The sequence below is a fragment of the Homo sapiens genome, chromosome 16 (assembly GCF_000001405.40).
Source record: "Homo sapiens chromosome 16, GRCh38.p14 Primary Assembly".
NCBI classification, from domain to species: Eukaryota; Metazoa; Chordata; class Mammalia; order Primates; family Hominidae; genus Homo; species Homo sapiens.
This window is the reverse complement of record NC_000016.10, coordinates 58,621,544-58,643,518: the sequence shown is the minus strand read 5'-3', so window position 1 is coordinate 58,643,518 and position 21,975 is coordinate 58,621,544. Positions and strand designations below refer to the sequence as shown.

Genomic DNA, 21,975 nt, shown 5'->3' with positions numbered 1-21,975 from the left:
ACCAGCACTTTGGGAGGCCAAGGCGGGTGGATCACCTGAGGTCAGGAGTTTGAGACCAGCCTGGCCAACATGTTGCAACCCCGTCTCTACTAATAATACAAAAATTAGTTGGGCGTGGTGGCATGTGCCTGTAATCCCAGCTACTCAGGAGGCTAAGGCAGGTTAATTGCTTGAACCAGGGATGCAGAGGTTACAGTGAGCCGAGATCACGCCATTGCACTCCAGCCTGGATGACAATAACAAAAATCCATAAAAAAAAAATTGTATTACTGGCCAGGCATGGTGGCTCATGCCTGTAATCCCAACAGTTCGGGAGGCCGAGGTGGGACCAGCCTGCCTGGTCAACATAGTGAGGCTCTGTCTCTATAAAAAAATTAAATATAGGCAGGGCACAGTGGCTCACACCTGTAATCCCAGCACTTGGGGAGGCCAAGGCAGGCGGATCACGAGGTCAGGAGTTCAAGACCAGCCTGACCAACATGGTGAAATCCTGTCTCTACTAAAAATACAAAAAAAAAAAAAATTAGCTGGGCATGGTGGCACGTGCCTGTAATCGCAGCTACTCTGGAGGCTGAGGCAAGAGAGTTGCTTGAACCGGGACCCGGGAGGCAGAGGTTGCAGTGAGCAGAGATCATGCCACTACACTCCAGACTGGGCAACAGAGCCAGACTGTCTCAAAAAAAATAAATTAATTAATTAAAAAATAAATAGGCCAGCGAAGTGGCTCACACCTGTAATCCCAGCACTCTGGGAGGCTAAGGTAGGTGGATTACCTGAGGCCAGGAATTCAAGACCAGCCTGGCCAACATGGTGAAACCCTGTCTCTACTAAAAATACAAAAATTAGCCAGGCTCAGTGGCAGGCGCCTGTAATCCCAGCTACTTGGGAGGCTAAGGCAGGAGAATCGCTTGAATCCCAGAGGCAGAGTTTGCAGTGAGCCAAGATTGTGCCATTGCACTCCAGCCTGGGCGACAGAGCAAGACTGTCTCAAAAACAAAAACAAAAACAAAAAATTAAAAAAAAAAGCAGCAGGAGGTCTCACAAGGAATGGTGACAATTTAGAGGAGACTGCCCTAGAGCAGTGATTTCAACTCTGCTCCCTGCCTGCTGCTGGGCCCTCAAGTTCTAATTATCCATTGCTGGAATCCAGATATTCCAAGTGCCTTGGATTTCCATTTGACCCTTGACAAAAGATTATTGTGCATGGGGAGTCATTACAGGCCACCAAAATTTGGTTTTCGAATAAGAATTAGCATTTTAGGAGTGTTTACTGGGCACCGTCAGATTTCTGCCAAGAAGTTTGGCTGCCATGTAGCCTTGCAAACTTTCTGCCGTGTATGCCCAAGTGGAGACAGTTTTACTACTATTAAGAGTGACAATGGGTGAGATGACAGGACCATAGAGTCTTTGGCCCTACCTAAATAGGCCAATTAAATAGAATTGTGGGGCCAGGCACATTGGCCTAGCAGGAGGGTCGCTTGAGCCCAGGATTTGAGACCAGCCTGGGCAACAAAGCAAGACCCTATCTCTAAAAAAATTTTATTTATTTATTTATTTATTTTTTGATGTGGAGTCTGGCTCTGTCGCCCAGGCTGGAGTGCAGTGGCACGATCTTGGCTCACTGCAAGCTCCGCCTCTAGGGTTCACGCCATTCTCCTGCCTCAGCCTCCAGAGTAGCTGGGTCTTCAGGCACCCACCACCACGCCCGGCTAATTTTTTGTATTTTTAGTAGAGATAGGGTTTCACTGTGTTAGCTAGGATGGTCTCAATCTCCTGACCTCATGATCCACCCGCCTCAGCCTCCCAAAGTGCTGGGATTACAGGCGTGAGACACCGTGCCCGGCCAAAAAAAAAAATTTTTTTTTAATTGGCTGGGCATGTTGGCCCATGTCTGTAGTCCTAGCTGCTTTGGAGGCTGAGGCAGGAGGATCGATTGAGCCCAGGAGTTTGAGGTGGCAGTAAGCTATGACTGTGCCACTGTACTCCAGCCTGGGCAACAGAGTGAGACCCAGTCTCTAAAAAAAAAAAAAAAGAAAGAAAGAAAGAAAGAAAAATTGTGAGCCCTGGCCCGTACAGCATAATCCAGCCCACTGCCTTGGTGATGCTAGTTGATACTTAGTGGCTCTCTCCTGGGTGGTGGAGGGCTGCAGTGTCTCCCAGCTCCCTGTGGTATGGCATGGATGTGTCTCCTGGAGTCAGCTCCAAGACTGCCCTTCCCTCTAGGAAGCCACAGGACAGAAGCTCAGGTCCCATATGCTCTGCTGGCAGCTTCTATCATGTGGGACATCAGAGGAATTGGGACCTTGGTGTCAATTGGTGTTGGCCAGGAAGTATAGCAAGTTGTGTTTCACCCTCAACCCCGGAAGGACTTTGGATTGATTCTTCTCTGCAGGTCCTAGAAGCTTATGGCATGATTCAGGGCATTGGCCTCAACATTTACCACCGCTACTCACCCTGGTGGGAGGCACGTGGCTACCAGGGGCATTACACTGCTGACATGAGCAACCTTTTCCGAAGATACCAGTTCAACGTGGCCACCTGGGTAAGTGGTTGGTGAGGTGGGATGTGGGATGGTGAAGGCTGCGATAATTATTATAGATAATGCTTCTCTCTACCTTTGCAGCTAGTCCAGTCCACCATCATCTCTCGCCTGGACCATTACAATCTACCTCTAATTTGGAGATTCCTGATTCCACCCTTGTTCTCCTATAGTCTTTTCCTCTTGCAGCAGCCTTTATTTATTTCTTTATTTCTATTTTTTTTTTCTGAGACATAGTCTCACTGTGTCTCCCAGGCTGGAGTGCAGTGGCACGATCTTGGCTCACTGCAACCTCTGCCTCCTGGGTTCAAGTGATTCTCCTATCTCAGCCTCCCAAGTAGCTGGGATTACAGGTATGCACCACCACACCGGGCTAATTTTTGTATTTTTGGTAGAGATGGGGTTTCACCATGTTGAGGAGCCATAGAAGCCTATGTTCTCATGGCCTACAGGGCCCCACATGTTCTAGCTCCTCTCTGACTACATATTCCACCCCTCTCCTCCTCATTGCTATCACTGTCCTGCTTCAGCCTCACCTGCAGTCTTGCCAAACCTCAACCTCGGGGCCTTGGCACTTTCTGGTCCCCTGCTTGAAACCCCCTGCCACCAGATATCTACATGGCTTCTTTTCTCACTTCCTTTAGGTCTCTGCTGAACTCCTCTATCAGAGGGGTCTGCTGCCTACCTCCCCTGCCCTCTCACTTCTTTCTGTTACTCCAGCACCTATTCTCCTGCATCATGTTTTTGTAGCAATTTTACTGCCTGGCATTATTTATTTATTCTTGTTTATTCCACCTCCCCCCTCCACCGCCTTGTTTAAATGCAAGATCAATGAACTCAGTTTTGTTGCTGTAATTCCCAATACTTGGCACATAGGAGGCACTTAACACCTTTTTGTTGAATGAATGACTCAATACATAAACTTCCTCTACGGGCCAGGCACGGTGGCTCACACCTGTAATCTCAACACTTTGAGAGGCCAAGACCAGCAGATCATCTGAGGTCAGGAATTTGAAACCAGCCTGGCCAACATGGTGAAACCCCTTCTCTACCAAAAATACAAAAATTAGTCAGGCGTGGTGGCGCATACCTGTAATCCCAGCTACTCGTGAGACTGAGACGGGAGAATCACTTGAACCCGGGAGGTGGAGGTTGCAGTGACCTGAGATCACGCCACTGCACCCCAGACTGGGGGCCAGAGCGAGACTTTGTCTCAAAACAACAACAACAACAAAATCTTCCTTTACACTAGACATTGAGTATTTTACATACTTTATCTCATTTAACCCTCATGAAGATCCTCTACCCTATGTACCGCTGTCATCCCATTTCACAGATGAAGGACCTGAAGCTCAGAGAGGCAGTGTCCTAGTGCATGGTTACCTAGGGTAGAGCTGGAATATGAACCTCAGGAGGCTGACTCCTTTATTATTTATTAATTTATTTTGAATTTTTTTTTAAGCTGGGGTCTCGCTATGTTGCCCAGGCTGGTCTGGAATTCCTGAGCTCAAGTAATCTTCCTGCCGCAGCCTCCCAAAGTGCTGGGTGCTGGGATTACAGACATGACCCACTGCACACTGCACCCAGCCTCTTTTTTTTTTTTTTTTTTTTTAAGAGGCAGGGTCTCACTCTGTTGCCCAGGTTGGAGTGCAGTGGTGCCATCATAGCTCACTGCAGCCTCAAAACTCGTGGGCTCAAGGGATCCTCCTGCCCCAGCCTCCCGAGTTGCTGGGACTACAGGCATACACTACTATGCCCAGCTAATTAGAAGTCTGACTCCTGAGCTCAGACTGCAGTACTCAACGTACCTCATTCTGGCCTCCCTGGAAGCATCCTCAGGGCCAGTGTTCTGCTGGGTGCTTTCTGTGCTGAGGCAGTCTTGGACTGGGGACAGCACAGTCTTGAACCCGAAAGGGATCAAGGTGGGGTGAGATGCTCAGGTGGTGAAAATGAGGGACAGGCAGCACTTCCCCAGCATCCCCTATCCAGGGCAGGTACACCCTGGGCCCTACCTCTTAGGAATATTGGATGGCAATGGAGGCAGAGAGGAAGGCATGCAGAAGGGCCTGGCTGCCTCTCCTCTTTCCACCTCACCTTTCCTGGGTTACTGTCCCTGAGAAACCTCATTTGGAGTACAGTGTGGACCAGGGGCTACTGTGACTCAGAACAGTTCCAAGTGGAAAGGACTTAGAGATCATCCTAGCCAATTCTTCTGTTTTACAGAAAGATTCTGAGACCTAGAGAGGAAGAAACACTTACTCTATATGGGAAGGGCATGAACAAAGGTGTAATTGCCTCATCGTGGGTTCTTCCTGCCTGTTGCACAGACAAAATCAGTTCACTGAGACTGTGATATTGCAGGAGAGAGTTTTATTAACTCAAGGCTGGCCATGCAGTAGTTGGAGTTATTACTCAAATCAGTGTCTCTGAGAAGTCCGAGGCTAGGCTTTTTATGAACAAGTTGGTGGGCAGGGGGCAGGGAATGGGTTGGAGATGGTATCATAGAGGTGTGGAAAATGGTCCTCCTGCACAGAGTCGGCCTCCAGATGGGGCCACAGGACTGGTTGAGGCATGAGTCACAGGTTGGGGCAGGATCAGCCAGTTGCCAGAAAATCTGGAAAAAAAAAAAATCAGTTACAGGCTCACGCCTGTAACCCAGCACTTTGGAATGAGGCGGGCGGATCACGAGGTCAGGAGTTTGAGAACAGCCTGACCAACATGGAGAAACCCTGTCTCTACTAAAAATACAAAAATTAGCCAGGCATGGTGGCACGCTGTTACACTCTTATAATCCCAGCTACTCAGGAGGCTGAGGCAGGAGAATCTCTTGAACCCGGGAGGTGGAGGTTGCAGTGAGCCGAGATCGCGCCACTGCACTCTAGCCTGGGCGACAGAGGGAGACTCCATCTCAAAAAAAAAAAAAATCTCAAAAGACAAATCTTAAATTTTACAAGTGATGTTATCTATAGGAGCAAGAGGAAGTCACAAATCCTGTGGCCTCTGGCCACATGACTGCTGAGCATAAGGGATTATAGAAACTATGCTGACATTTAGCAGAATTCTGGCCCTTCCCATACTCCTAATCTTGTGGCCTTTCATTAGTCCTTTTTTGCTTTTTGTGTTTTTTTTATGTTTTTTTGAGACAAAGTTCTGCTCTGTCATCTAGGCTGAAGTGCAATGGCATAATCACAGCTCACGGCCTCAAACCATCTTCCCACCTCAGCCTCCCAAGTAGCTGGGACTATAGGAGTGCACCACCACATATGGCTAATTTTTTATTTAAAAAATTTCTTTCTTTTTTTTTTTTTTGAGATGGAGTTTCACTCTGTCAACCAGGTTGGAGTGCAGTGGCGTGATCTCTGCTCACTGCAACCCCTGCCTCCCAAGTAGCTGGGGTTACAGGCAGGCACCACTATGCCCGGCTCATTTTTGTATTTTTAGTAGAGACAAGGTTTCACCATGTTGGCCAGGCTGGTCTCAACTTTCTGACCTCAGGTGATCCACCCACCTCAGCCTCCTGAAGTGCTGGGATTACAGGTGTGAGCCACCATGCACAGCCTAGAGGGGGTTAGTTTTAAGGAAGGACAATTATCATCCTTGCTTTCAAATTAAACTATTAATATCAGGGCATGGTGGCTCACACCTGTAATCCTAACACTTTGAGAGGCCAAGTTGGGAGGATCGCGTGAGGCCAGGAGTTCGAGACCAGCCTGGTCAACATAGTGAGACCTCATCTCTTTATTTATTTATTTATTTATTTATTTATTTATTTATTTATTTATTTTGAGTCAGAGTCTTGTTCTGTTGCCCAGGCTGGAGTGCAGTCCTGCAGTCTCGGCTCACCGCAACCTCTGCCTCCCTGGTTCAAGTGATTCTACTTCCTCAGCCTCCCAAGTATCTGGGATTACAGGTGCCCACCACCACACCTGGCTAATTTTTTGTATTTTTAGTAGAGACGGGGTTTCTTCATGTTGGCCAGGCTGGTCTCGAACTCCTGACCTCAGGTGATCTGCCCACCTCAGCCTCCCAAAGTGCTGGGATTACAGGCATGAGCCACTGTGCCCAGCCCCTTCATTTCTTTTCTCTTATCTTTCACACTATCAATTACCAAAGCCCGACAATTTCACTTCCCACATCTCTTGTGGTCCCAGTTCTCCCCATTCCCACCGCACTATCTCCCCTGGACTCTTACAGTAGTTTCCTGGTTAGTTTCCCAGCCCTTCTTCCACATCACAGCCAGTGTGACCTTAAAAAAAAATGCAAATATAAGCCTGTCAGCTGCTCCACCCAACCCTTCAAAGGCTTCCCAGAGCTCTTAGGATAAAGGGCTGACACAGCAGCCCTAGATGGGCTTCTGGCTACCTCTCTGGGTTCCAGCCTTCCTGGTCTTTCAGCTCCTCACAGATGCCCAAAGATGCTGTATCCTCTCTGGGAGGCCTAGCTCTTTGCTGGAATGTAACCCCCTCCCCGCCACTCTTCCTCTGTAACTCCTACTCCACGCCCAGCCAGGTTTTTAATTTTTTAAATATATATATTACATTTTTTATTGTACTTTAAGTGCTGGGATACAAGAGCAGAATGTGTAGGTTTGTTACACAGGTATACGTGTGCCATGGTGGTTTGCTGCACCTATCAACCTGTCATCTCAGTTTTAAGCCCTGCATGTATTAGCTATTTGTCCTAATGCTCTGCCTCCCCTTGCCCCCACCCCCTGACAGGCCCCAGTGTGTGATGTTCCCCTCCCTGTGCCCATGTGTTCTCATTGTTCAACTCCTGCTTATGAGTGAGAACATGTGGGGTTCGGTTTTCTGTTCCTGTGTTAGTTTGCTGAGGATGATGGCTTCCAGCTTCATCCAGGTCCCTGCAAAGGACATGATCTCATTTACTTTTTATGGCTGCAGGTTTCTGAATTTCTCAGTGGGCTTTTTGCAGTGTGCCTCCCTGGACATCCTCCCAGGGTAGAGCTACCAATGTCTTACTAGAGCTTGAGTGCCCAGGGAATCAGAGGGATTGGGGCAGGGCAGTGGTAATGGGCTGGATTTAGAGTTAGGCTGTCAATGGGCAGCTCTGGGTAAGACAGAGAATCCTAAGGTAGTTAAAACTACTGTAAATTGAAGTTACTGACTAACTTGAAAAATGAGACTGAAAAACAGGAACATGAAATAATAAGGCTTTGTATTTCTTGCATTCTTTTTTATGTATTTCTTTATTTTTTGAGACAAGGTCTCAGTCTGTTGCCCAGACTGGAGTGTGCTGGTGCAATCACGGCTCACTGCAGCCTTGACCTTCTGGCCTCAGGGGATCCTCCCACCTCAGCCTCCTAAGTAGCTGCAACTACAGGTATGCAGCACCATGCCTGGCTAATTTTTCTTTTTCTTTTTTGTAGAATCTTGCTGCGTTTCCCAGGCTGGTCTTTAACTCCTGGGCTCAAGCAGTCCTCCCACCTCGGCCTCCCAAAGTGCTGGGATTACAGGCGTGAGCCACCATGCCCAAAGGCCTTGTATTTTCCATTCACCTTTCTTCCAAGCACTTTGAAATATATTATAATATAGTTTGCACAGATCTCAAAGCCTCAAAATTCTTTGTCTTCTAAGTATTTTTTGTTCCCCTTCCTAACCTAATTAAATAAGGCTTTTGTTTCCAGTACTTACATTTCCCTCTCTGGGCTATTTTGGGAAACAGTGAAAAGAGTTTTGTAAAATCAGAGTCTCGCTCTCTAGCCAGGCTGGAGTGCAGTGGCGCGATCTTGGCTCACTGCAACTCTGCCTTCCGGGTTCAAGCAATTCCCCCGCCTCAGCCTCCCGAGTAGCTGGGACCACAGGCGTGCGCCACCATGCCCGGCTAAGTTTTTGTATTTTAGTAGAGACAGGGGTTTCACCATGTTGGCCAGGATGGTCTCGATCTCCTGACCTTGTGATCTGCCTACCCCGGCGTCCCAAAGTGCTGGGATTATAGGCATGAGCCACTGCGCCCGGCCGAGAGTTTTGTAAAATTCTTCCAGAGCCTGGGATGCAGTTAATTGGGGAGAAGTGAAAGACCGGAAGAAGGCTAAGGAAAGAGGCCAGGAAAGTAATTAACAGCTAGCTAAAATATCCTGTTTCTAAATACAGTGGGTTGCTGAGTTATAAGGTGATTCAGTTAATCCTTTGTGAAGGTGTCTAGTAAAATAGTTTGTCTGGGCTTGATTTCCAATTATGTCTTTTGATAAAAATTCAAATGTGTATCAAGTAACCTACAGTACCCCTTCCAGTTTGTAAATTTCCTGTGAGTCTTTCAGCTTTTTAGTAAGGATAGAAGCCACCTAGGATTCTGACAGACGGTTGAAGGACTTTGATCTCTAGGCCATTGTGCAAATCTTGCAGGTACTTAGCTCAGGCTCCATGACAAGTCAAATCCTAGAAGTGGTGTTGTAACTCCAGGGGAGGGGTTGGCAGTGGGCACAAGGGTCTCCTGGAGCAGTCTCAGTTGAAAGCAGCAAACCATTTTCCCGGCAAAGACAGGTGGAAGTAGAAAAAGGCAATTCGGCTTTATTTTACCTTATCTTTATTTTTGGAGATCTATGTTTGAGACCAGAACTAGCTGTAGAATTACAGAGTTGACCTTAGATAGCTGACCTCTGTGGGTATCACCTACTGTCTTTAAAAAAAAAAAAAATCTTAAGGTGGGGTGTGGTGGTTCACACCTGTAACCCCAGCACTTTGGGATGCCTAGGTGTGGGGAATCACTTGAGGCCAGGAGTTGGAGACCAGACTGAGTGAGATCTCATCTCTACAAAAAGAGTTTTTAATTCATTTAAAAAAGTATTTAAAATTATACAAATAAAACATAAATACATACTCTTTGTAAAATGTTCAAATAGTGGGCAGGTGCAGTGGCTCACGCCTATAATCCCAGCACTTTGGGAGGCCGAGGCACGTGGATCGCCTGAGGTCAGGAGTTCAAGACCAGCCTGGCCAACATGGTAAAACCCCGTCTCTACTAAAAATACAAAAAATTAGCTAGGCATGATGGCAGGTACCTGTAATCCCAGCTGCTCGGGTGGCTGAGGCAGGAGAATCGCTTGTAACTGGGAGGCAGAGGTTGTAGTGAGTCAAGACCATGCCATTGTACTCCAGCTTGGGCAAAAAAAGAAAAGAAAAAAAAAAGAAAAAAAGAAAAAAAAAGTAGTCTATAGAATAAAAAGCCCAAGTTTCCTTTTACCCTTCCTCATTCCCACTCCTCTCCCTACAGACAAACATTGGTGTTAGTTGGGGGGGAGAAGTATATCTTTTCAAATGTTTTGATGCATTTAGTTATATATAAATATAGATATAGTTATTTTCTTCCACACAAATGGTAACATAATGATTATATATTTTTTCTTTCCTTCATCTAACTTTCTAATTTAGCAATAAATCTTAGAACCATTCCATATAAGCAAATGTAGACTTACCTCATTTTTAAATTATTATTATTTTTTTAGACTGATTTTTGTATTTTTGTATTTTAGAGACAGGGTTTCACCATGCTGGCCAGGCTGCTCTCGAACTCCAGACCTCAGGCGATCCACCCGCTTCGGCCTCCCAAAGTGCTGGGATTACAAGTGTGAGCCACTGTACCCGGCCAACTTACCTCATTTAAAAAAAAAAAAGAGGCTGGGCATGGTGGCTGATGCCTGTAATCCCATCACTTTGGGAGGCCGAGGTGGGCAGATCACGAGGTCAGGAGATTGAGACCATTCTGGCTAACACAGAGAAACCCCGTCTCTACTAAAAATACAAAAAATTAGCCAGGCGTGGTGGCGGGCGCCTGTAGTCCCAGCTACTTGGGAGGCTGAGGCAGGAGAATGGCACGAACCCGGCAGGCAGAGCTTGCAGTGAGCCAAGATCATGCCACTGCACTCCAGCCTGGGTGACAGAGTGAGACTCCGTCTAAAAAAAAATTCATAATATTTCATTAAAAAGTACGATATTTATTTATTTATTTATTTATTTATTTATTTTTGAGTCACAGTCTCACTCTGTCACCCAGGCTTGAGTGTAGTGGTGCGATCTACGCTCACTGCAACTTCTGTCTCCCGGGTTCAAGTGATTCTCTTGCCTCAGCCTCCCGAATAGCTGGGATTACAGGCGCCTGCCACCACACCTGGCTAATTTTTGTATTTTTAGTAGAGATGGGGTCTGGCCCAAAGTACCATACATTTTATTATTGTTTCCAATCTTTTGGGTCCCCATAAACAACGCTTCCATGTATATCTGTATGCACTCTGCACACATTTGCAATGTTCATCTGTGGAGTAAATTCTTAGACATGGAATTACTGGGTCAGTGGGGTCGGCATTTTCACTTTTGATAAACTCGGCCAAAATGCTGCTCTACATAGGGGTTTTGGTAACTTTTACTAGCAACCGTGCAGGGAAGGGCCTTATTCCTCATCCTTGTTCTGTTTAGGGGGCCTTTTACTTCTAAGATTACAATGTTGTAAGTCGATTTCTCCCTTTAGTACCCTGCAAGGCCTATTTGCACATATGCCTACCATGTGCCAGACACAATACTAGGTGCTGAGAATACAGCTGTGAACAAGACGGAAGTGATCCTTCTTCTTACTATATGTGGGGTCCCTGGCTCTTGCACAGTTCTGCTCTTGCACAGTTGCTTGAAAGCACAAGGGACTCAGTAAATGTAGGCTGAAAGACCTGGCCTCCAACTAAGGAAAGGGAGGTGTCGAAAAGTATTTTTAGGCTGGGCTTGGTGGCTCATGCCTGTAATCCCAGCACTTTGGGAGGCTGAGGCGGGTGGATTACCTGAGGTCAGGAGTTCAATACCAGCCTGACCAACATGGTGAAACCCTGTGTCTACTAAAAATACAAAAATTAGCTGGGTGTGGTGGCACGTGCCTGCAATCTCAGGTACCTGGGAGGCTGAGGCAGGAGTCTTGCTTGAACTGGGGAGGCCGGAGGTTGCAGTGAGCTGAGATTGCACCATTGCACTCCAGCCTGGGCAACAAGAGCAAAACTCCGTCTCAAAAAAAAAAAAAAAAAAAAAAAAAAAAAAAAAAAAAAAGATGTGTTTTTAGGACATATGCTCAGTTAACTAGGCCAGTCACAAAAAGACAAATACTGCATGATTCCACTTATATGAGGTATCTAAAGTAATCAAACTCAGGAACATAAAGAAGAATAGTGATTGTCAGGGACTAGGGGGAGGGGGAAATGGAAGGTGTTAAACAACAGATGTAGTTTCAGTTTTGCAAGATGAAAAAGTTCTAGAGATCTGTTGTACAACAATATGCATATAGTTAACACTACTGTATTCTACACTTAAAAATGATTAAGATGGTAAATTTCATGTGTTTCTTACCATAATTTTTTTTAAGTATTTTTTTGGGCACGAGAGGTAATATGAGAGAGATGGCCAGAAGACCACCTACTGAGCCTAGTCTGAGGACAGGGGTGAGCACAGGGATAGGTTTGAATTTCTTTTTCTTTTCTTTTTTTTTTTTGGAGACGGAGTCTCGCTCAGTCGCCCAGGCTGGAGTCAAGCGGCGCGATCTCGGCTCACTGCGACCTCTGCCTCCCGGGTTCACGCCATTCTCCTGCCTCAGCCTCCCGAGTAGCTGGGACTACAGGCGCCCGCCACTACGCCCGGTTAATTTTTCTGTATTTTTAGTAGAGACGGGGTTTCACCGTGTTAGCCGGAATGGTCTCCATCTCCTGACCTCGTGATCCGCCCGCCTCGGCCTCCCAAAGTGCTGGGATTGCAGGCGTGATCCGCAGCGCCCTGCCTTTTTTTTTTTTTTTTTTTTTTTGAGACAGAGTTTTGCTCTGTCGCTCAGGCTGGAGTGCAGTGGCGCGATCTCTGCTCACTGCAACCCACGCCTCCCGGGTTCAAGCGATTCTCCTGCCTCAGCCTCCTAAGTAGCTGGGATTACAGGTGTGCGCCACCACGCCCGGCTAATTTTTTGTATCTTAGTAGAGATGGGGTTTCACCGTGTTAGCCAGGATGGTCTCGATCACCTGACGTCGTGATCCACCCGCCTCAGCCTCCCAAAGAGCTGGTATTACAAGCGTGAGCCACCGCGCCCGGCCTTAATTTCAAAAGGTAATAGAGCTAACCAGTCAACACTTCCTTCCCAATCCTTTCTCTTTTGGGTACAGGTGAGTATAAAATCTTACCAACTATCATAGTTAACAAACAAACCATAGCAAAATATGTTTCTATGCTTTTTCTCTTGAGAGCAAAGGACATGGGTATCCTTTCTTAGACGGCTTCTAGGACTTAAGCCAGGAAGAGAACTTGCGTCTCCTACGTCTCTGGAAGGCGTCTCTGGAAGGTGTCCCTTCTTCAATAGACAGAACTAAAACAGAAAGTTCCCTTGACCAAAGCGAAGCAAGCGAGGACAAGGTGGCCACCTGGGTGACTACAACCCCCAGCATGCACTGCTCCTTCTAGGGCGCAGCGACGAACGAAGACGCATTACTTCTGCGATGGGAACGGGGTAGAGGAGCGCGACTACACATCCCAGGATGCAAAGCGCCCCAACTCTAGTCACAACCTGGCTTGCTTTCTGGCTGGCGTTCCCCGCCAAAGGGACACTAGGGGAGGGGATTGTTTCGGTTGGGAATCCCCGAAGTCTACTGGACCGTGACATTTCGAAAGAGGAAGGAAAGTGGAGGAAAGCTGTTTCACTGTAATTCAAAGTAGTTCCCGCGCAGGGTGGCGAGGAGTTATGGGCCCCTTCCATAATTTATTGTTCCTCAAAGGCAATGCCAAGCCCCACTGGTCGCAGCCCTCCAGGGCAGGTGGGAAGTACGTGAAGCCCCAAATCGAAGTTATCAGCCTCTCCCTATTGGCCCTCGCCTCGAGCGCAGGCGCGAGGGCTCTGACTCCGGTCCCCTGGGCCTGGTGAGCGGCAATTGGCCAAAGTCCGCGAAGTAGGAGGCCGGATTGGTAGTTGCTAGCAGGAGCCTGATTTCTTCCTCGACTTCTGCAAGTGATAGAGTGTGATTGGTTTAAATCCGCGGGCACCTGTCGGTGATTGGGTAGAAGCCACAGGCGGGGCGCGGCCATTGGCTGGCTCTGGGGCCATCCCTCCTCGGGCGGGCAGCGAATGATGAAATGGGAACGGGGAGGGGAAAGGCCGCGACGTGAGCGCGCGACCTCCGGCGCCATTTTGTAGAGAAACAAGCGGAGTTAACCGAAGAGGGGGTCGAGGAGAGCCGGAGTCGGGGACCCAGGAGTTTCCTGTGTCCAGCGCTGCCGGAGCCGCCTGAGGTGAGGCGGGTTGGCGTCAGGGGCTAGGGTAGGGTGGCGGTGTCAGCTTGGGAACGCGAGAGCCGGTGGGAGGAGGAACAGGGGTGGACCTGGGGCCACTGGAAGCGTTTCCCGGAGCTCTAGGGAGTGAGAGGCAGCCGGGACGGGGAAGTGGGACGAGGCGGGAGAGGGCGGACTCTTCTCCACACGGCTCTCGGAGGCTTCGCGCTCTGAAGATGAGAGGCCAGCGAGAAGGCTCCAGGAAGCGGAGGGTAGAGCGCGGGGTGAGACCCATGGTGGTCTCTGTCCCGGGCCTGGAGGCTCAGGGGGCGGCAGCGGCGGCAGTTCGTGTCGCTGGGCCTGGCTTCGCGCGGGTTGCACCCCTCTGAGACCTCCACGACCTCCTTAACTACTGTTTCTGTCTCTGCTCCCTGATGGTTGCAGTGGGCATCGGCTTCCGAGGCCTAGGGCTTCTGGCGGGGGGGACCGTGTTTGGAGTTTTTGCATGTTTCCAGTTCTTCTCCGTGTACTCGGAGCTGCCACTCTCCCCGTCTTACGCCCCCAGCACGTTGTCAAAGCCCCCCAGGTTTCGGGTGTCCCCGGATGGGAAGGGCGGGCGGGAGCAAGCACTTCCTTATTACTTGCTACAGGTTTTGTTCCACTCGCGCGCCTGGGCGCTCACACTTTCTTTGAAGTTGGCCCCCACCTACTCGGTCCGGTGTCTGCAGTAGTGGCGGTCCTGCTCACCCAGGACAAGTGTCCCGCTAGTGAGCTGAGCACTTGTAGGCCTCAAGGCTGATAAGATCCACGGCAGGTCTTGTAGAGGTACTTAAGGCCAAACACAAATAATACTTTTTCAGTACCACCTCCTTTGCAGAATTCACCCAAGAGGGCTCACAGATACTAACTCCCCGAGGAGTAAGCTTTGTAGATTAAAAAAGAATGCTTGACATCTGTGCGTTTGAAAATGTTGTATTTAAAATAAACTTTATGACAAACTTTTCCCATGAAGTTAATCAAATGTCACATTTCTTAGGACTCTAATAAAGTCTGTTTTCTTCCTGAAAACTGAGTAACAATGCTTAACCTACCCTGCCGATTTCTCTACAATTCGATAGCCTGTGACTACTTGGGTTTTTTTTTTTTTTTAAGTCAGTGATTGAGTGAATATAATTATACTGTTTGAAACAATGCCGAACGTTTTCCTTATGACAGCCCCTTTGATAGGAATAGGGAATACATGGATTAAAAAAATGAGGGAAGGCAAGTAAAATATTAGGAGGAAGGTCAAACAGATTAAGAACAATTTTTTTCTATAGGTACTTGGGTTTAATACTTAAGTGATCTGTGGTCCCGGTTGGTATTCCTACCCTTTTAAAGATTGGCAGCAGAGTATTTTAGCTATTAAGAAGACATGTGGTAACAGTTTAAATAATTATGTTTTAGGATACTGCAAATTGTTACCTTGTCTAAGGAGAATATGCATTGATGATACATGGTTTTAGGTGGCTAGCTGTGCTTTGACTGAAATGATAGCATGTTGATAAAACTAGTTTGGAGAGTTAGTTCCTTTTCAACAAGTGTGGGTTCCCCAAGTCTTAGTGGAAACAAGTCTAGAATCGACTGGGCGCGGTGGCTCACGCCTGTAATCCCAGCACTTAGGGAGGCCAAGGTAGGTGAATCACCAGAGGTCAGGAGTTCGAGACCAGCCTGGCCAACATGTCACAACCGCGTCTCTACTAAAAATACAAAAATTAGCCGGGCGTGGTGGCAGGTGCCTGTAATCCCAGCTACTTGGGAGGCTGAGGCAGGAGAATTGCTTGAACCCGGGAGGCGGAGGTTGCAGTGAGCCGAGATAGAGCTACTGCACTCCAGCCTGGGGGACGGGGAGACTCCGTCTCAAAAAAAAGTCTAGAATGAAGGCGCAAAGACATGTCTATTTGTAACTGAAAATATTTCCTTTTCTTACCTAAGATTGTAATCTTAGAAGTTTTAAGGTACGGTTTTGTGGCATTACGGTGGAAAAGAATTGAAATGTGCTCTTTTTGGTTCCCAGCTTAACACCCCGGGTTCATTTTCTTTTTTTCTAGTTTCTGAATTTCTCTTCGGGGTTTAGATCCTAGTCTCTTTAACATAGATGTTGTCAAGCTAAATAATAAGACATCCTTCTTATTTGGAGTCAAGTCATTAAAAAAAGCTATGAAAACAAATGGAAATGCTTGCCATCTTTTCAAAACATGCTTTAAAGTCTGATTTCAAATTACCTTGCATGTTACTTTTTCTGAGTATGTTTTAGGATAGATTCTGATCTGGTTATGAGAAACTTTTTTTTTTTTTTTTTTTTTGAGATGGAGTCTCGCTCTGTCACCAGGCTGGAGTGCAGCAGCACACAATCTCGGTTCACTGCAACCTTTGCCTCCAGGGTTCAAGCAATTCTGCCTCAGCCCCTCGAGTAGCTGGGACTACAGGTGCCCGCCACCACACCCAGCTAATTTTTGTATTTTAATAGAGACAGGGTTTCACCATGTTGGCCAGGATGGTCTCGAACTCTTAACTTCATGATCCACCCGCCTCACCCTCCCAAAGTGCTGGGATTACAGACGTGAGCCACGGTGCCCAGCCGAGAAGCTTTCTTTTTAACCAGTTTGAATTTATGAACTTGATTATTTCTTTCTGTGTAATAACAAACACGTCTTTGGTACCCAATACCAGAGAATGGAATTTGTCCACAATAATTCTAATTGAGTGCTGTCATATTTTGGGACTAATTTTTTTGGCCCAGGCAAGTGGCTCAAGCCTGTATCCTAGCTTTTTGGGAGGATGAGGGAGGAGGATGCTTGAGACTAGGAGTTAGAGACCAGCCTGGGCAACATGGTGAGACCCTGTCTTTACAAAAAAGAAAATTAAATTAAAAAAAAATTTTGCAAAATATTTGTTATGAGTATTTTGTCCCACATTAACAAAAATAGTAGTCTGCCTTTTTTTTTTTGAGACGGAGTCTCACCCTGTTGCCCAGGCTGGAATGCAGTGGTGCGATCTCAGCTCACTACAACCTCCGCCTCCTGGGTTCAAGCGATTCTCCTGCCCCAGCCTCCCAAGTAGCTGGGATTACAGGCGCGCACCACTGCACCCAGCTAATTTTTGTATTTTTGGTAGAGACGGGGTTTCACTATGTTGGTCAGGCTGGTCTCGAACTCTTGACCTCGTGATCCACCCGCGTCGGCCTCCCAAAGTGCTGGGATTACAGGCATGAGTGACCGTGCCCAGCCTAGTAGTCTGCCATTTTGAAATGCTGTATTTTATGAACTTGGTATATCTTTTTTTTTTTTTTTTTTTTTTTTTGAGACGCAGTCTCGCTCTGTTGCCCAGGCTGGAGTGCAATGGTGGAATCTTGGCTCACTGCAACCCCTGCCTCGCAGGTTCAAGCGATTCTTCTGCCTCAGCCTTCTGAGTAGCTGGATTACAGGTGCCTGCCACCACAGCCAGCTAGTTTTTGTATTTTTAGTAGAGAAGAGGTTTCAACGTATTGGCCAGGCTGGTCTCGAATTCCTGACCTCAGGTGATCTGCCTGCCTCAGTCTCCCGAAGTGCTGGGATTACAGGCGTGAGCCATAGCACCCGGCCTGAACTTGGTATATACTTTTATAAAAGAAAAGACTTTCAAGTCATATATATTAACTGAGGCATTTCTTTAATGACCCTCTGACCAAACTAAAACTTCCTGCTGTGAAGTTTCAAAATGGCATCCCATTGAGTGACTCTATATATAGAAGAATCTAGCAATTCCTTTTCTGTTTGCTCACAATTTTAAAGATGAATCTTTGAAAGTTAAAAGGGGCTCAACACCTTCTGCCCCCCAGTGTATACAATAGTTTTTTTTTTTTTTTTTTTTGAGACAGGGTTTCACTTCAATGCCTAGGCTGGAGTGCAGCGGCACAATCCCTGCTCACTGCAGCCTTGATATTCTGGTCTCAGGTCAGTCTCTCACCTCAGCCCCTGAGTAGCTGGGACTACAGGTGCATGCTAACCACACGTGTCAAAAATTGTTTTTTTTCTTTTTTTTTTGAGAGAGAGTTTTGCTCTTCTCCCTCAGGCTGGAGTGCAGTGGTATGATCTTGGCTTGCTGCAACTTCTGCCTCCCGGGTTCAAGTGATTCTCCTGCCTCAGCTTCCCAAGTAGCTGGGATTACAGGTGCGCGCCATCATGCCTGGCTAATTTTATATATATATGTTTTTTTAAAACAGGGTTTTGCTCTTGTTGCCCAGGCTGGAGTGCAATAGTGTGATCTCTGCTCAGTGCAACCTCCGGCTCCTGGGTTCAAGTGATTCTCCTGCCTCAGCCTCCTGAATAGCTGGGATTACAGGCGCACGCCGCCATGCCCGGCTAATTTTTTGTATTTAGTAGAGACAGGGTTTCACCACGTTAGTCAGGCTGGTCTCGAACTCCTGACCTCAGGTGATCCACCTGCCTCGGCCTCCCAAAGTGCTGTGATTACAGGCGTGAGCCACTGCCCAGGCCTGTATTTTTAGTAGAGATGGGGTTTTACCATGTTGGCCATCTGGTCTTGAACTCCTGACCTCAAGTGATCTACCTGCCTCAGCTTCCCAAAGTTCTGGGATTACAGGTGTGAGCCACTGCGCCTGGCCTAATTTTTGTATTTTTTTGGTAGAGGTGAGGTTTCACTGTGTTTCCCAGGCTGGTCTGGAACTCCTGGGCTCAAGCGATCTGTCCACCAAGACCTCCCAGAGTGCCGTGATTACAGATGTGAGCCACCATACTGGCCTATGATACTTTTTTTTTTTAAGTGTACTTTTCACTCAAATTTGCAAGAATGTAGCAAACCAAATAAAGCATTGTTCACTGGAAAGCGTAGTTTGAGAAGGCAGTAATTAGAGGTGTAGACTTAATATGAAGCCATTTGTTGAGTTTTTTCGTTTGTTTGTTTGTTTTTTAAGATGGAGTCTTGCTCTGTTGCCCAGGCTTGAGAGCAGTGGTGTGATCTCGGCTCACTGCAACGTCCGCCTCCCAGGTTCAAGTGATTCTCCTCCCTCAGCCTCCCGAGTAGCTGGGATTACAGGCGCGTGCCACCACGGCTGGGTAATTTTTGTCTTTTTAGTAGAGATCTGGTTCACCATGTTGGTCAGGCTGGTCTCGAACTCCTGACCTTGTGATCCACTCATCTCAGCCTCCCAAAGTGCTGGGATTATAGGCGTAAGCCGTCGCACCCACAGTGATTTAAAGGAATGTAGTGTATATATTTGAGAAATGCATTTATATCTTTAATTCTGGAAAACACAGCATTAACTAACCTCCAGCATACCTGTTGCTTAACTGTGTTACAGTTGTTACAGGGAAATTCCTGAAATGTTGAATACGTTGCAACCATGTAGGATAATTTTTTGTTGATTCTGAGAACATAAACTTTCTTCCAGTATATTCTCACACCACCAGATGTGTGGGGTTTTCCCCTGCGCATCAAGCAAGCTATTCAGCAGTGGACACCACATGGGTATCCTCTAATTCAGTATTATTCTGACACGGTGTACCTGAAGATAGCATCAGATCCCACAGGTTGAAAGCTCAAGTCCCATAGACAGTCCCCCACTTCCAATGCTAATCTCAAGTCCCAGGTGGTTTTACCTGTGTTTCTGACCAACTGACTATAAATTGAGTTCCTAATACCCCCTTCTTTTGTTCAGTTAACTTGCTAGAGTGGCTTATGTAGAACTCTCGGAAATACTTAGGGTTTTTTTTTTTTGGAGCCGGAGTCTTGGCTCTGTCACCCAGGCTGGAGTGCAGTGGCACGATCTAGGCTTGCTGCAACCTCTATCGCTCTGGTTCAAGCGATTCTTCTGCCTCGGCCTCCCAAGTAGCTGGGATTATAGGCATGCGCCACCACACCTGGCTAATTTTTTATATTTTTGGTAGAGATGGGGTTTCATCATGTTGGTCAGGCTGGTCTCGAATTCTTGACTTCAAGCGATCGACCCACCTCAGCCTCCCAAAGTGCTGGGATTACAGACAGGCATGAGCCACTGTACCCGGCCAACACTTAGGTTCAAGAGTTTATTATAAAGGATATGGATGAGGAGGTGCGTAGGAGAAGTAAGGGCCGCGGAGCTTCCATGCCCTCCCCTGGCTACACTGTGCCTCAGCTATCTGGAAGCTCTCTGAACCCAGTCATTTATGGGCTTTTATGGAGGCTTCATTACAGAGGCACAGTTGGTTAAATCATTGACCTTTGGTGGTCACCTTAACCCTTAGCACCTTTTCCCTCCCTGGAGTTTGGAGGAGGTGGGGCTAAAAGTCCTAATCCTCTCATCTTGCCTTGATCTTTCAGGTGACCAGCACCCATGCAGAAACTACCTAGAAGTTGCCAAGCTATCAGTCAACTCAGCATACAAAAAGAAACTTACCATTCTAAGGATCTTAGAAGTTGTATGCCAGGAAATGGGATGAAGACCAAATGTATATCTCACAATAAATATTACAGTAATGTTGAAGTAATTATTTGAAATATAAAAGTGGGATGGAAGTATTTTCTTTTCTTTTTTTTTTTGGAGGCAGAGTCTCGCTGTATCCCCCAGGCTGGAGCGCGATATCGGCTCACTGCAACCTCTCCTTCCTGGGTTCAAGCGATTCTCCTGCCTCAGCCTCCTGAGTAGCTGGGATTACAGGCGCCTGCCACCACGCTTGGCTAATTTTTGTATTTTTAGTAGAGACGGGGTTTTGCCATATTGGTCAGGCTGGTCTCGAACTCCTGACCTCAGGTGATCTGCCTGCCTTGGCCTCCCTAAGTGCTGGGATTTCAGGCGTGAGCCACTGCACCCAGCCAAAAGGATTTTCAAAGACGCTATCTAACATTCTTTTTTCTTTTTCTTTCTTTCTTTTTTTTTTTTTTGGGTCAAGAGTTTCACTCTTGGCGCCTGGGTTAGAGTGCAGTGGTGCGATCTCAGCTCACTGCAACCTCTGCCTCCAGGTTTCAAGAGACGATCCTGCCTCAGCCTCCCGAGTAGGTGGGATTATAGGTGCCCACCACCACATCTGGCTAATTTTTGTATTTTTAGTAGAGACAGGGTTTCACCATGTTCGCCAGGCTGGTCTCAAACTCCTGACCTCAGGTGATCCACCCACCTCAGCCTCCCAAAGTGTTGGGATTATAGGCGTGAGCCTATAATATTCTTAAGCTTTATATTCAGAACTCAGCAGTTTCCGAGTCAGATAATTAAACGTTTGTTCCCTTAGATTTATAGCTTCTAGGTTTTGCGTTTTTTTCTTAATTGATTTTATTTTTTAGAGCAGTTTTGGGATCACAGTAAAATTGATGAGAAAGTACAGAGGTTTCCTGTATTATCTCCTGCCCCAATACATGCTTTGCCTTGCCCATTGTCCACGCCCGCCCCCCCCCCCCCCCCCACTAGAGTGGTACATTTTTTGAGATACAGTCTCGCTCTGTCACCCAGGCTGGAGTGCAGTGGCGCCATCTCGGCTCACTGCAAGCTGTGCTACCCGGGTTCACGCCATTCTCCTGCCTCAGCATCCCTAGTAACTGGGACTACAGGCGCCCACCACCACGCCTGGCTAATTTTTTATAGTTTTTTAGTAGAGACGGGGTTTCACCGTGTTAGCCAGGATGGTCTCGATCTCCTGACCTCGTGATCCACCCGCCTCGGCCTCCCAAAGTGCTGGGATTACAGGTGTGAGCCACCGAGCCCAGCCTGTACATTTCTTACAATTGATGAATCTACGCTGATAGATCATCATCATCCAAATTCTCTGGTTTACATTAGAATTCACTCTTGGTGGTGTATCTTCTTTTTTTTTTTTTTTTTTTTTTTTGAGACGGAGTCTCTTTCCGTCGCCCAGGCTGGAGTGCAGTGGTGCGATGTCGGCTCACTGCAAGCTCCGCCTCCCGGGTTCATGCCATTCTCCTGCCTCAGCCTCCTGAATAGCTGGGACTACAGGCACCCGGCTAATTTGTTTTTTGTATTTTTTGGTAGAGACGGGGTTTCACCGTGTTAGCCAGGATGGTCTCGATCTCCTGACCTCGTGATCTGCCCGCCTCGGCCTCCCAAAGTGCTGGGATTACAGGTGTGAGCCACCATGCCCGGCCATGGTGGTGTATATTCTGTGGATTTGGACAAACTATAAGGCCTGGTTTTGCTAACAAGAATAGTTGCCAGGCGTGGTGGCTCATGCCTGTAAT

General features: G+C 47.3%; 1 protein-coding gene across 4 annotated transcripts in view, besides 6 other annotated features; it reads left to right on the top strand.

Annotated features, from left to right (window-relative positions):
- Positions 5,113 to 5,172: an enhancer, noted in NCBI's record as "active region_10933". NCBI's record gives its function as "activates an Ori minimal core promoter by ATAC-STARR-seq in GM12878 lymphoblastoid cells {active_cell/tissue: GM12878}" and the evidence as "EXISTENCE:reporter gene assay evidence [ECO:0000049][PMID:35858748]".
- Positions 12,826 to 13,315: an enhancer, noted in NCBI's record as "active region_10932". NCBI's record gives its function as "activates an Ori minimal core promoter by ATAC-STARR-seq in GM12878 lymphoblastoid cells {active_cell/tissue: GM12878}" and the evidence as "EXISTENCE:reporter gene assay evidence [ECO:0000049][PMID:35858748]".
- Positions 12,826 to 13,939: a biological region, named in NCBI's record as "NANOG-H3K27ac-H3K4me1 hESC enhancer GRCh37_chr16:58663484-58664159".
- Positions 13,264 to 13,939: an enhancer, noted in NCBI's record as "NANOG-H3K27ac-H3K4me1 hESC enhancer chr16:58663484-58664159 (GRCh37/hg19 assembly coordinates)". NCBI's record gives its function as "activates a minimal SCP1, AML or CMV promoter by ChIP-STARR-seq in naive H9 embryonic stem cells {active_cell/tissue: H9 hESC(naive)}" and the evidence as "EXISTENCE:reporter gene assay evidence [ECO:0000049][PMID:30033119]".
- Positions 13,606 to 13,815: an enhancer, noted in NCBI's record as "active region_10931". NCBI's record gives its function as "activates an Ori minimal core promoter by ATAC-STARR-seq in GM12878 lymphoblastoid cells {active_cell/tissue: GM12878}" and the evidence as "EXISTENCE:reporter gene assay evidence [ECO:0000049][PMID:35858748]".
- Positions 13,693 to 21,975, top strand: part of CNOT1 (CCR4-NOT transcription complex subunit 1) — a 109,876-nt gene continuing 101,593 nt past the window's right edge. For all 4 annotated transcript variants that reach the window (NR_049763.2, NM_001265612.2, NM_016284.5 and 1 more), the window contains exon 1: positions 13,693 to 13,791. The gene's annotated coding sequence lies outside the window, so the exon portion shown is untranslated. The remainder of the gene's footprint in view (positions 13,792 to 21,975) is intronic.
- Positions 13,940 to 14,616: an enhancer, noted in NCBI's record as "NANOG-H3K27ac-H3K4me1 hESC enhancer chr16:58662807-58663483 (GRCh37/hg19 assembly coordinates)". NCBI's record gives its function as "activates a minimal SCP1, AML or CMV promoter by ChIP-STARR-seq in naive H9 embryonic stem cells {active_cell/tissue: H9 hESC(naive)}" and the evidence as "EXISTENCE:reporter gene assay evidence [ECO:0000049][PMID:30033119]".